We start from the raw sequence: 14,518 nt of genomic DNA on the forward strand, positions 1-14,518 counted from the left end.
GTGCTTTGAACTGAGAAATTTAGCTCAAGCTTTGGAACTTGGAGTTCAAAAATTAAAAATAAATAGGTGCCTCAAATGGCATGTTAGAAGTTGGAACTCTCTCCTGAGGATGCTGCTGGAAGAGTTTGGAGGGAGAGAGGGATAGGGTCAGCTAAGTGTCTTAGAAAACTGACTTGAATGGGTGCTCAGAGCGCTCCTGGGTGAGGGGTCAGGCCTTGCTGTCTGTCCACCCTCCCCATCCTCCTCCCCTCAGGGGCTGCTCTGACTGTCCACCAGCCCTCTCTCTGCCTTCCTAACAAAAAGCAAAACATGGAAATAAATGGACAAAGCTATTGGGGCTCAGCTCCAGGAAAAAGCAGCATTAAGCATCCAATCTCAGGATGCAGTGGCCCCTCCCTGCCCTGTCCTAGAGAATGTTGTCAAGAAACCCAAGTTCAAAGTCCAGTCACTGCTCACACAGGGCCTACTGGGGGCCAAGAACATTACACATGTTGAAATGTCAGTATCTCTTATAAAAGGGACTACATCCAAAGAGGATCTGCCACAAAACCACCCAGAACAAAGGTGGCCACAGAGTCAGGGATGGTCAGAGGAGGAGTCCAGGAAAGCTGCCGGGTGGAGGCAGTGTCTGAGCCACGCCTTGAGGGACAAAGAAACTCAACACTCAAAGGTGAGGTAGGCAGGGATTTCCAGGGAGAGGGCACAGCCTGGGCAGAGGGTGGGAAGTGGGAAGGAAAGGCACCACCAAAAGGGGCCCTAAAGAGCAGGTGGGCTGGCTAGGCACGCAGGGCCGGGTTCCGCAGACACAGTTCTGCGGAGAAGAGAGGTCACCGAATCGGGGCATTCCCGGCACTGTGACCGGCCATGTGGATGACATTTAGGAAGGATCAGGCTCTCCGGAGGCCCCTCCGGTGAAGACACAGAGAGCTTGTGCAGCTGTACACAGGCCAAGCCGTCAGAAGCAGTGCACGGACCTCCGCACACTGGAGTTGATGCAGCGACTCCCCCTTGTGGCTGGTAATCAAGGCATGAGGGTAGTGGATCAGGCTTTGGGAGGGGTGGGCACAGCTGTCATCCCGTGCCTGTGACCGGCTTTGGTGCCAGCGTCAGCCTGTGGCTAACACTGTGCCCAGAGTCCCACCACCCACCCATGGATCAAGCATGACCCTCCGTCCAAACGCAAACGCCTTAGAGAGAAGGAAAGGGCCAGCATTTGCTGAGCACCTACTGGGTACACAGCACTTTATGTACACTGTCTCATGGAATCTTTCAAGAATCCTATGGGATAGACATTGCAGTTCCCATGCTACAGTGCGAAACTGAGGTCGAGAGAGGGGAAGGGGCTTTGGTAAGACAGCCCAACTAGGATGGGCAGAGGGCCAGACCATGAGAACCAGGTGCTCCCTCCTTGAGCCCTTTGCACAGACTCTTCCCTTTGCCTGGAATGTTCTTCCTCACTTTCATCCTTACAGTCCAGTCTAATACCCTCCACCCAGAGGCCCACCCTGGCCATGTGGGGTGTGTCTCCTTTACCTCCCTCAGCCTTTCCTCCAATGCCTTTCCTCTCAGCCCTTCCTCCACCTGTTCTTTTCCACTAAATGGGAGATCCACAACTGTCTTGCTCACTGATTTCAACCCCATGCCCAGGGCAGCGTTGTGCACACAGTAAGTGCTACACAAGTGTTTGCAGAATGAATGAATGAGAAATATATGATGAATGTACATAATCTCTGAATTGCCATATTGGAAAGAAATCAACAATTCATCCCTTCTAACACTGTAGTTCAATGCAGGAATCCTCTCTGCTGTCTAGTACAGCTTGTACACCTCCATAAATGGGAGCTCACCACCTCTGAGCAGCCCACCCTATTCCTGAACAGTTGTAAGGGGTGACAGTCAGTCTGTTATCCCAGCTGCAGCCTGCCTCCCTATGGCTCCCCCTAGTCCCACACCATGGCCTCTGAGCCCTGGCAGGAGAGGCCACAGCTCAGTCTGGATGCGGCTTCAGTGGAGACCCAGTGTGTGGCTGAACACGGTGGTGGCCATTCACCCCGTTATTCTGGGGCCACTTCCTGGAGGGTTCCCCAACCAGGAAGAACAAACCATCTTCCCAGATGCCACAACATCTGACCATGCTGGACAGACATCCTCTACGCCCAAGTGGGGAAACTGAGGCTCAGAGAAAATGGGAACATAAGCCTCTAATAATGACAATCCCGGCTGGCCCCCAGCTGGCACTCTACAGATTTCATACTACTTCTCACCTCTAGGGGCATTTACTTCAGTCCCATGAGGCTGGGATCATCAATCGTTTCATTTTACAGACGAGGAAACTGGAGCCCAGAGACAGCTCAGTTCTCTGGCTCCAAAGCCTTAAATCACAGTTCAATTCACACACATTCTCAAAAGGGCTTGGTGGACGTGGTGATCACCAGATTCTGTGTCCTCATGGTAGACTTGAATATTGAAAGAGAACCCTGGAGCTGTGGACCCACGGTGGACCCTCAGGCAGGGTGAGAACATGGGAAGGACCATCCAAGGACCCCAGGCCACCCAGCTGAGAATATGCCAGAAAGATCAGCAGAGGTATGGGGGTGGGAGCCCTGCAGGGTTTGGGGGTGGGCCCTGGCAACGACCACATGTTTGAGGACAGGGCTTGACCCTGGGATTTCCAGGCCAGTGCCTGCTGCCTGGCAGCTGAGCCCCCTGCGCCCCAAACTGACCAGCCCTCTCCAGCCTCCCCGCCTCCCATTCCCAGCACCAAGTAGCAGAGCCAATTCCCACCTCTGAGCCTTTTTATCACCATCCTCCAGGAATGCCCTCTTCCTAATCCCTGTCTGCCAGGCCAAGTCCTACAAGCCCTTCAAGACTGCTGCCCCCAGGAAGCCCTCCGGCTGGCTGGGGCCTCATCTAGGGCTCCAAGCCCTCGGCACCTCTCAGTCCCACTGTGTCAACTCACTGCTGGCCATCCCACTCTCTTCCTTGCCCATCTACCCCTAGAAGAAGACACCAGCATGGTAATGAAGTGTGAGGAACATTCTAGTATGCCACCCTCCCCGCAGCGGCACCGCTGGTGCCTCAGAGGGGCCCTGAGTTCAACTCCTAGATCTACCTCCACCTCTGACTGGCTGGATGACCTTGGGCAAAACCGGCCTCAATCTCCTCATGCATAAAATGGGAGTATATGTGGGGCTGCGGGAGGAGTAGGGCTTGCGGTCTTTAGGGGCTGCTTCAGCTCTGGCCTCAGCCACCCTGGAACCCCTTCACCTCCATCCCCAGCTTGAATTCCAAATGACCCTCGGCTGCTTACAAACCCCAAACAAACCTTCCTCAACAAACCCACTCTGCGCATGGGCACTGAGACACAGCGAGGAGCAAGGATCTTGCCCAAGGTCATCCTACAGGGACCCCAGCACCCCTAATTATGGGCTGCTAGTGGCTGCTGGCCATGTGCCCCGCTTCGCCTGCCCACCTGCCCACCACATCTGCTTATGAGTCACCATCACCTCGGCCAAGATAGCAAAATGTGGGAACCAGAGAGCCAAGGTTGGCCCAAGGGGAGTGAGTGAGCGGGAGGGGGGAGGCAGCAAGGCTTCCAGGCCCGGGAGAGCAGGGCTGGGGGCCCAGAAGGGACGCTGAGGCCAGGAGGAACACGGACCTGCCAAGGACCCATGAAGAGTTGCGGTCAGCCTGAGTCCCTTGGCTGATGGAGGTGCTTTCCGCTCCATCTGACTATCTCCCCAGTGGGTGGGGAGACAGGGCTGGGAGCCTTCACAACGATCTGGACAATTAAGACAGGCAGATGGTCCTGCTGGACTGAACATTCAAGCCGACAGACAGAGACAATGCCCGGACCTGAGCTGAAGAGATCAGCATGCATTCCAGAGGGAGACACGCACAAGCAAGGCCAATGTGCGGTTGGGGCATTCAGGGAGGAGCCTGGCACGTCTGTCTGCTCTGCCTGGCTCAGACCTCCCCAGGCCCTGGGCTCCACTCTGGGCTCTGCTCTGCAACAGGGACATACAGAGGATGGGGTATGGATGGAGGTGACAGCCAGGCGGAGAGCGGGAGGAGACTGTCCTGTGGGGAGCGGGGCTCACTCAGCCTGGAGCAGGGAGACTTGTGGAGAGGCATCGCTGTTTCTGCAGGGCTGTCCCGGGACAGGAGAAGCACAGAGAAGGCAGAGGACTTGGGGGAGCCTGGGGATAGCAGAGCAGTGGCCACATGTTGGGAATACAACCGAGGGGTCCCTTGGACCCAGCAGGGGAGGCTGAATAAGCTGACCGTGAAGGAACGCCCCCGGGGTGAAATGTTTGGACTTGGAAGTCAGGCGGCCTGGGTAGGCTCATGCTCTACTACTTCTTTCCTAGGTGTGTGACCTTGGAAAGTAACTTTGTCTTTAAGCCTCAGTTTCCTCAACTGCAAATGGGGCAATTTAGTTCATAACCCACAGGCCTGTTGCAAGGGTGAGAAAGTACATGGGAAGTGCCTGGCACACAGCAAGTGCTCAATAAATGCTTGGGAAACAAAGAACAGATCTAGAGGTTCACTCCAGGCTGCCGGGATTCTGCAATTCTAGGACGAGAGTTTATCCTTGTCTTCTTGATTCAAAAAAAAAGAAAAAAATTATCTGGTCTCCGAGCCACCATAGCTGATCTGAAATTCTGGTGCCCCCAGGCATGGAGGAGGGCAGAGGCTCAGGAGTGGCGCACTGGAGAGAGAGGGCTCATTTCCACTCTGGGAGTCAGATTTGAGGCCCTGATGTGGCTGCCAGGAGAAATGCCAGGAGCTGGATGTGGTGGCGTGTGGGAGGCCAAGGGGAGTGCCATTAAGGAGCGGAAGGAGGGAGTGAATAATTCATCACAGACATGCACCACGGAGTGGGCACAGGCAGACAAAGCTCAGGAGGGCAAGGACAGGGGTTTGTGTCTGTCTTGTGCCCTGTTGTACCCCAAGGGCCTAGAACAATACCTATGACGTAATAGATGCTCAATAAATATTTGTTGAATGAGTAAATGACACAGGCTATTCTCCTGCCTTGACGTCTGTCGATTCTGCCCACCCTATAGTCCTGGCTCCTCACCTCCTGCCTGGGTCCCACCCAAGACTCCTTCCTCCAACCCTACCTATGGTCTGTAGACCACAGCCAGAGCTTATTCTTTTCTTTCTCTCTCTCTCTCTCTTTTTTTTTTTTTTTTGGCACAGTCTTGGCTCACTGCAACCACCGCCTCCCAGGTTCAAGCGATTCTCTTGCCTCAGCCTCCCAGGTAGCTGGAATTACAGGCGTGCGCCACCACACATGGCTAATTTTTGTATTTTCAGTAGTGATGGGGTTTCACCATGTTAGGCAGGCTGGTCTTGAACTCCTGGCCTCAAGTGATCTGCCCACCTCAGACTCCCAAAGTTCTGGGATTATAGGCGTGAGCTAGCTACCATACCTGGTCCAGATCCTATTCTAATACTCGAAGCAGTCCTCCACTCTCTCCTGCTCAAGGACCATCCATGGCTCCCACTGCCCCCAAGACAGGGTCCAAGCTCTACAGCCTTTCACCTCCTCCACCCTGCCTCCCTCCTCTCCCCACACCCTTCTTGCTGACCAAGACTCTCATGGGGTCTTGAGGCAGATCTTTCAAGCCTCCAGGCATTTTCTTTCCTTTTTTTTTTTTTTTTTCAGAGACGGAGTCTCGCTCTATCACCCAGGCTGGTGTGCAGTGGCATGATCTTGATTCACTACAACCTGTGCCTCCCTGGTCCAAGCTATTCTCCTGCCTCAGCTTCCCAAGTAGCTGGGATTACAGGCACGTGCTACCACGTTCAGCTAATTTTTGTATTTTTTAGTACAGATGGGGTTTCACTATATGTTGGCCAGGCTGGTCTCGAACTCCTGACCTCAAGTGATCCGCCCACCTCGGTCTCCCAAAGTGCTGGGATTACAGGCATAAGCCACCGTGCCTGGCCACCTCCAGGCATTTTCATGAGCTGCTCCCCTCCTTATCTACCTGGCAAACTCCTACTCATCCTTAAATACGCAGCTCTGGGAGTCTCTTTTGACCTCTCTCAAGCAAAGTCATTGCTTCCTTCTAGAGGCAATAACTACACCCTCGAGTCTCAGTTTGGAGGACATGGGAGGGGTCTCACATGGCCATGTGGCTCAGGGACCTCCGCCCAAGTATTCACAGACTGAGAAACCTGGGGGCCTTACCCAGAAAAGATGAGCAACAGGACAGCCCATTAAAATAATATAGGCTGGAAATGGAGAAATGTTACCCAGGCATCTTTTGAAAAAAAGATTTTGAAGAAGAAGACAGAAGAAACACCTTGCCTTCTCCCACATCTCTTGGATTCTTCTCCTTGAGGTTTCATTTTCGTGAATGTGCAGGCTCACTTAATGGGCAAAGCAAGTTCCTTGTGCCTCCCTCAGTGCCCTCCGTGAAGGAGTGGAGAGGGGTCGGGCAGGAGCCTGGCTCAAGTCTCCGCAGTGTGTCCTCAATCAACCAGGTTGAGCCCTCCTTTTTCCTTTGCTTATTTTCTATTAAGAGCTATGCTGGCCCCAGATGTGACTGCCCTGGGGACAGTGGTGTGTGCATGGGGAGAGGAAGGAAGTGGTTGGGTCACTAAGGGGAAGATGGAATTAAAAATTCCAGGAGTCTACTGTGTGTCCCAAACTTCCTCAATCGGCACTGCAATCTCAGAAGGGCAGTTTTTCTTGGGCTCACTTCAACAGGGGAGGAAACTGAGGTTGAGTAGCCATCCAAGGCCACACAGGGAGTAAGAGCCAGAACAAGATTTGAACCCTGGTCTGTCCGGGCCAATACAAGCATTTCCTGCATCTCCAAGATGCAGAGCCTGATCCACAGCATTTAGTAGGCTGCTCTCCAAATCCTGGGGACGCTCAAATCTGGAGCCAACCCAGGATTTCATCTGTCCCTCCAGCCTGGGAGGATCCCACTGGGCCCTTACGGTCTGTGGACCTGAACAGAGGACAGCAGCCTCAATGGGGGAGGGAGTGTCTCCTGCGGGGGTGGTCTCAGCAGAGGAGTCTCTGGTCAGACCCAAAGAGAGGCCTGTTCCTGATGTTCTCCAGGCACCAGCTGCTCTGTCTCTGTGGACCAGGCTTCCAGGGACCTCTAGGATGTCAGGCCACCAGCTGCCCTGAGGCCAGTGAAGGACCTAGAGCCCTCTGCTGCCCCACGGACACCCACCCCCATCCCCGCCACCTCCCTAAGGAAGACTCCCTGTGTAGGCACCTCAGAGTCTGGAAAATGCTCAGTTACAAGCTCACTGGCTGGAGACAGCCTCAGTGAGTCAGCTGTTTGGCCTTAGGCAAGTTACTTAACCGCTCTGTGCCTCACTTTCCTCCTCTGCACAATCAGAATGAGGATGGGACCAGCCTTGCAGGGCCACTGTGAGGAATGAATGAGTGAATGTACTGCTTGGCACAGAGTGGTGCTGAGTGCATGTCTGTCACTGCTGTTCCTGTTGACAGCAAGATGATTCTTGCTCCTCAGCCTGAAGCATAGAGATCGTGAATCCACCACCTCCCTCCTCCCCGTGCTGTAGATGGAGACATGGCAGCAAAGGTGAAGCCTGGGGTCACACAGCCTGGGGGGTTTAACTCCAGCTCCTCCCCACCCCCACTCCAATCTTGGTCCCACCCTAAGCCCCTTCCTAGCACTCTGAGGGGCTGAGCATGTGTCCAGGGATGGCACCCGGCACAGGCTGGGGCTCAGCACAGAGAGTCTTGCCCAGAGCCAGGCAGCCTTCACCTATGTCCCCCTGTCCCAACTCCCCACGTACAGCCCCTCGCTCCCTCCCACCCCTCCTCCCCCACACACAGCGCCCCTGCCAGGCAACCCCAGCCCATCTGGACAGCCCCACGGCCTCAACAGGAAGGAGAGAAAAGGCTGCTGGGGACATGGCCCTGGGAAGGGGTGGGGGCGGGGGCGATGAAGGAGACACACAGGAAAGTCCAGAGAGACCCAGGGAGAGACAGTGACAGTGCAAGAGGAACAGAGAAGAGCAAGACAGAGACAGACAGAGTGGGAGAGAGAAGGCAGAGCAGAGGCGGGGGCAGAGAACCGGGTGAGGGAGGGCAGACAGCAGGAGAGACAGACACAGAGAGACCCAGAGGCCAGACAGAGAGACAGCAGGAGAGAGAGGAGAGAGAGACAGAGAGACAGTGGAAGAGAGAGGAAGGGACCCAGAGAGAGCGGAGAGACAGAGACAGAGAGATGGAGGAGACAGAGAAGGAAGCAGAGCGGTGGAGAGACTGGGAAGGGAACTGGAGTGATCTGGGACAGAGACACGGAGGGAGAGAGAGATGCAGCAGAGAAACCCAAAAGGCTCCGCGAGAGAGACGGGGAGGGAGAGCAGGGGTGACTGAGGACAGGCAGGGAGCCTGGGAAGTCCCTCTGGGCCCCTCGCCCTCCACCCAGACTCACCGGCACCTTTGAGACGCCGCCTCACCACGCCCAGCCGCCACTTGAGTGACACCGCCAGCATTGTGCCCTCCTGCCCTCCGGCAGAGCCCTGTGCAGCCTGCCCCAGCCTCCCACGCCTGGAGCCGGCGCTCCTGTGCCCGCTCCAGAGCTGCTTGCGCTAACTGGCACAGGCTGGGCGCTCCCTTCCTCCGCCCTCCCGGAGTTGCTAAAATAGATAATCCTCCCCGGAGCCAGCGGTGGCATTGGTGGCGGCAAGGCCCTTCCTCCAAAGCAGCCGGGCCTGGGGAGTGCAGTGCCGGATGTTCTAGCCTCTGCAGCAAACCTCCAGCGGGCCCCACCCTCAAGTCCTCTTCCCACCAAAGTGCTCACCTGGCCCACCCCACCTTTTGCTGAAATCTACCAATCCCCTCCTCCCCTCTTCCCTGGGCTGGCTGTTTGATACTTCCAGGCCTTTGCACCTGCAAGGCCCTCCCCCTAGAATGTCCTTCCCCTCTAGTGGGACTCCATGCATCCTCTCTGCCTGGGAATGTTTGCTCCCTTCAGGGCACCCCGCCTGCTGGACCTCAACACATTTCATACTAGGTTGAGATTATCTACCTGCCCCCAAGACTAAGGAGCTCTGAGACAAGGACAAGAGTCCACTTGTCCTGTGTCCCCAGCAGGCAACATCACACTGGGCATGTGATAGGGCCACCAGAGTAGAACGAGGAGACCTAGGCCCCGCCTCTTAACTCCTAACCCCTACAACTATAACACGTAGCATGGGGATACCCAGAGAAGCTGCTCAAACTGCTGGTTGGGTGGAGTTTTGGGGACTATGTGTGAGTGCTCAGAAAACGCATCCAGCATCCCTTCTTGTCGTACACATGGCTAGCCTCCTCTCTCATCCCACATCCTGACCCCTGAGTTTGGCAGGGCAGTGTTGCCCTAGGGGAGACTGAGGCAGATGGGCAGTGACTTGCTTATGGTCACAGAGCACATATGTTGCAGAGGTGGCTCTAGAACCCCAGGTTCCTGCCCTCTCTCTACCAAGGCAGGTGTTCATGCTTCCTCCATCCTTTTCCCAAACCATGAAAGCCCCTCTGATGAATCAGGCTACAGACCACACTCATAGGAAGGGCAAGACACCCGCTCGGGAATCATGGCTGCCACAGAAATCAGGCTTTGCCTGTGAACCAGCAGTGAGAGCCTCCCTTGAGAAAGTCGGAGGGTTCCCCCACATGCAGAACTCCTGCCAATCCCCATCACTTCGCAGCAATCCTATCTCTGGAATCCTTTGGCCTAGCATTCACCAGCACGCAGGATTCCTAGGACGGATGGAACACAGGGCAGTTCTGGATACACAGATCTGACCAGTAATAAAAATGAATTACACAGCGAGGAAGTGATTCCCTTCTCAGTAATCTCCCAGCCCTTCTGATTCCATGCAGGAGTCTCCTTTCGGCTCTTCCACACTACCTCCCTGAAACTTGCAGACAAATAATTTTAAACAAAGACAGAGCAGGCTCCAGGCTCAGAGGCCCCACAGTACATGGATTCCAGCCCAAAGCATCAGGAGGCACTACTGGCAGAAGGTGAGGCTCAGGGAGGCTCTGTTGGGGCAACTCAGCTAGGCTGGAGGTTCTGGGCTCCTTTACACAGACTCTGCTGAGGGATTCTGTCTTCATCCTAAAGGTGTGGGTGGCAGAGGCCTCTCAGGGCTAGCCGAGGAAGCAGGAAGTGGGCACTTGAACGGCATCACCCAGCTCCTTCTCGAGACCTGAGGACAGCGTGAGGGCTGCCCCACTGCCATAGCCCCTGTCCCATCCCCACTGTAAGCCTCTCCTCTGCAGTTGAGAGGCGTGAGCCTCTAGAGGAGCAGCAAAGCTGTGGCTTAGCTGTGCAAACAGAGAGGAAGGGAAGGGAGCAGAGAACACATGCCTTTAGGGATGGGCAGATCTGAGGTCAAATCCCAACTCAGTGTGCCTTAGTTTCCTCATCTGACAGATGGGGCTAACAGTTCCTGCCTCTAGTATGGCAGGGTTACACGAGATCACAAGCATAGAGCACTTAGCGGAGGGTGGCACACAGTAGGTGCTAGATAAATAATATGTAACCGTTATTAGTGTTGTGGTTATTCCGCATGGAGCCCAACCCCTTGTGTGTGAATGGGGATGGGAGGCCCAGTGAGGTGAAGGCAGGAAAGTCAGGAATCTGATGCGTTCCATGAACTATCACATCAAATCCTCAGAGCGCATGAGGGTGGTCCTAGGAACATCCCTATTTTACAAGCAAGGAAACTGAAGCTCAGAGAGGTGCGGTATTCTACCAGAGTCACACAGCATGCATGCGGCAAAACAGGTCTCAGGTCCTAGCCACCAGACTAGGCCGCTGCCACATCTAGGCCCAGGGAGCACCCCTTATAAAACCCCTATTGTGGGCCAGGCTGTGGGCCGAGCCCCGCCTGGCTGGCTTAGCCCAGGGAGGGCAGGCTGCGTTGCCTGGGGTTTTGCAGACTGTTAAGTGGCAGAGCACGGTTGGGAGCTCTGGCTGTGGATGAGGCCGCTTCCTAGCTCCATCAGTGCCTTTGGTAGGAAGAGAAATGGCCCAGGTGGTCTGCAGTGCCAGCTGAAATTGACGTGTGGAGAGCACAGCAATAAATAAGTAATAAATAAATAAGGAGGCCGAGGCTCCCAGGGTGCGGGAGAGGCAGAGTTCCGACCTGGTGGGGTTTCCTGTCACCAGTTAACCCTGGAGGGTGCCCTGTAAGTGTCCCAGGCCTTACAGGTGAGGACACTCTGAGGACCACATCCAGACCTGCATAGGGAGGTGGATCTGCCAGCTCCAGGCCCAGCTCTGGGTCTCTGTCCCCTACACACCCACCCCAGAGACCCCACAGGCCTCAGGGCCCACTGCAGGAGCCTACAGTTATGTGCAAAACTGACTACGGAGCCCAGCCTGAAAACTCCCTGACTATGTGGCACTTCCCTTCCCTGGGGCCCCTTAGCTCTTCAGCTGCAAGAGGGATAACCTCGCCCTACCTGCCACCTACGGCTGTCCTGGGTCAAATGAAGAAGGGGAGCTCCGAGGGCAGGGTGGATCTGTCCATTACGCCTGGCACTGACTTGGAGGGGGCAAAATACTTGTTAGGTGCAATCTCAGGAGTGTTTAATGGTGTGGGCTGTGGAGCCAGCCTGCCCGGGTTCAAATCCCAGCTCCACCACCTTCTAGCTGTGCAACAAGACCGTGTTACTTACCTGACTGAGCCTCAGTTTCCTCACCTATAAAGTGGAGATGATAATAGGATGTGCCTTCCTGTATGCTGTGAGAGTGAAACGGGATCAAATGAACATGAAGCTCCTCACACACATTCATTAAAAACACAGAGCATTATCTTAAGATTGGTCTTGCAGAGTTCCAAGTGAAATTGGAATTCAAGTAGACCTTGGGGAGTCAAGTGGACCAAGGGCCAATTCCTTGGTTTAAGTGGAATTCAGGTAGACCCTGGTGGGTCTGGTAAATTAGGAGTGCAGGTGAGCCAAGGTGTATGCTGAGAAAGAATTTATCAAAAAAAAAAAAAAAAAGGAGCCAAGAGAGATGCTATGATCCAGTAGTTTCTAATGGTAGCATCCCAGCATTATGTTGGGCCCAAGAGAAGACAACTGTGGGAGGCAGTGGTCGGTGTATTTCTCTGCCTCGTCCCAAGCTCAGATGTGTCACCTCTGTCTTGGGGGTGCAGGATCCACCAGAAGTCACTAGGGCTCAGCCTGTTCAGAGCTAATTTGGGAGGTGGCTCCATAGATCCCAGAAGATCCAGGTCCCACTGAGGAGCTGCCTGGCTACAGTAGGTGCAACACAAGAAACGGAACTGAGGAAGACATGGTCCCTGTCCTCTAAAAACTCCTGGCAGAGACAGACGCTGCTTCTCCCTGAGCCTCAGTTTCCCCGTCTGAACACTGGGGTCAAGAATCTGCACCTCATAGTGCTGCAGGAAAAGAAATAATGAGTCCACATAACTCCAGCCCCATCCCTGTGTCAGCAGAGGCTGGGGAGAACTTGAGGCCAGTTATGATTTGATGATTTATGCTAGGCATCTGAGGATGGGCTTGGTGGCTCAGACCCGTAATTCCAGCCCTTTGGGAGGCCAAGGTGGGACAATCACTTCAGGCCAGGAGTTCAAGACCCGCCTGGGCAACATAGTGAGACTCTGTCTCTATAATTTTTTTTTTTAATTAGCCTGGCATGGTGGTGCATGCCTATAGTCCCAGCTACTCACGAGGCTGAGGCAGGAGGATCACTTGAGCCCAGGAGTTTGAGGCTGCAGTGATCTCTGATCGTAGCACTGCATTCCAGCCTGAGTGACAGAGGGAGATCCTGTCTAAAAAAACCCAGCAACAACAAAACAAAAACAAAAAGCACGTGTATGTATACAGTATACAGTCAATATGCTTCTCTGCCCATGTGCAGTCCAGCTTCTCTAGACTTCTATCCCCTTTTCTCCCAGCAATGTCACCCCCATTTCCCTTGGGGAGCTGCTCCTTCCCTGCATCCAGGGGAGGAGCTTTGTCTTTCAGCTCCAGGAGAGCCTTGACCCAAAGCAGACCAAGTAGCCTATCCCAATCCCCAGCCACGGCAAGCAGCTCAAGGATGGGCACATGACCCAAGTCAACCCAGTGAGATGCTATTCTGGGGCTTTGGATGAAGCCACTAGGAAAGGGAATCTTCTGGAGGTGTGGAGAAGCTGTGTCAGTCAGGCTGCTGGCGGCCACTGTGGCACCAAAAGAGAAGAGAAAGACAAATCCAATCCTGATGATGATGGCATCTCAGCACCTGGAACCCACCATGCCTGAAGTTGGGTATCCCTTTTGAACTTAAGCCAATACATTCCCTTCTTTGTTTAAGCCAGTTTGGGTTTGGTTTTTGGTAACTTGGGCCCAAAAGTATCCTGACTAATCCAGTGTCTTCCTCATCTCAGAGTTCCAGATTCCAGCACACAGCAGGGGCGCAGCAAGGGCTCAGTGAATGAGAGATGGAACATGGAATAATATGCTCCCCAAACTCTACCTTCAGCAGAGGACCCCTGGGCCCTCAACTTTAGTCAAAGGAGGCCACAGCTGGATATGAATTACTTTGGGTGCAGGGGCCCCAGCTGAGCAGTTCGACTGGAAGATCAGGAAGACAGCAGAGGGAGGCTTGGGGTCCTAGGTTCCAGCCATCTGAAGCTTGCTCATTACCTGAGCCACACCTGCCAGGCTCCCCTGTGCTCCCCAGATTTTTGCAGGATCCTTCTGCAGACAGCAGCCCCAGGGAATTGTGAGGGAACAGAGGCTCCCTTAAAGGAGATGAACCCATGGATGCTTCAGGCTGAGTCATCAAGAAAACAGCAAGGGCAGATCAGCCCGGCTGGGAGCCAGGAGGTCTGAATTCAGGCCCCAGCCAGTGTGCACTACTGTGTGGCCTCGAGCAAGTCTCTGCTATTCTCTGGCCTCCATGGGCTGTACTCCATGGTCTTCCCTAAGTTCATCCTCCCTATAGCATTCTCACTTTCTCGGTCCCAAGGCCCAGAGAGGTTCCCCCTGTTGTCAAAGGTCACACAGCCACTAAGGTGGCCAAGCCAGGATTCAAACACAGGACTATCTGGCTCTCCTCAAAACTGAGGCTGCACAGAGCCCAGGAGATAGGTTAAAGAAGGGAAAAGATCACAGAGGGATCCAGGCCAGCCTCCACCAATGCTGCTTTTTCCATTCCTGCCTCAGCTTCACAAAGCTCCAGAGGCCCCAGGTTGCTGCCATCCCCGCCTGCTTCCCGAAACAAATTAGCATCTCATCAGAGATGCCTTTAATCTTCTCAGCCTTTTCTTCCCCACGGGCCAAGTGGTGACATTTCTGCTGCCCAGCTCTACTGATCTAAATAAGACCAAGGCCGCCAAGGCTGGCTCTGTGGGTGGAAGAGAGGAGGCTGGGTGCAGACCCTCTTGACCGTTTATCCAGGCTGGGGGAGGGAGAGGATGCAGGCAGATGCAGGTCATCCATCCATCTCTCCATCCATTTGCTCATCCAGCAGATCTTTATTCAGCACTGTCTGTGTGCCAAGCGTGG

At 54.4% G+C, this 14,518-nt stretch overlaps 1 protein-coding gene across 8 annotated transcripts in view, besides 1 other annotated feature; it reads right to left on the reverse strand.

Annotated features, from left to right (window-relative positions):
* The window catches only part of GRIP2 (glutamate receptor interacting protein 2), a 113,911-nt gene that overhangs the window by 58,346 nt on the left and 41,047 nt on the right, over window positions 1–14,518 (reverse strand). For 6 of the 8 annotated variants that reach the window (XR_007095752.1, XM_011534143.4, XM_011534141.4 and 3 more), the window contains exon 1: window positions 8,442–8,607. The exons of the other annotated variants lie outside the window; for them this stretch is intronic. Coding sequence is in view for 5 of the 6 variants with exons in the window: in XM_011534143.4 (XP_011532445.1) it covers window positions 8,442–8,502 (61 nt within the window). In the remaining variant the exon portion in view is untranslated. Of the gene's footprint in view, window positions 1–8,441; window positions 8,608–14,518 lie in introns of those variants that run through there. 8 annotated transcript variants of the gene reach the window in all.
* Window positions 467–967: an enhancer, noted in NCBI's record as "H3K4me1 hESC enhancer chr3:14589426-14589926 (GRCh37/hg19 assembly coordinates)". NCBI's record gives its function as "activates a minimal SCP1, AML or CMV promoter by ChIP-STARR-seq in naive H9 embryonic stem cells {active_cell/tissue: H9 hESC(naive)}" and the evidence as "EXISTENCE:reporter gene assay evidence [ECO:0000049][PMID:30033119]".

Source organism: Homo sapiens, chromosome 3 (genome assembly GCF_000001405.40).
Source record: "Homo sapiens chromosome 3, GRCh38.p14 Primary Assembly".
In the NCBI taxonomy this organism is placed as follows: domain Eukaryota; kingdom Metazoa; phylum Chordata; class Mammalia; order Primates; family Hominidae; genus Homo; species Homo sapiens.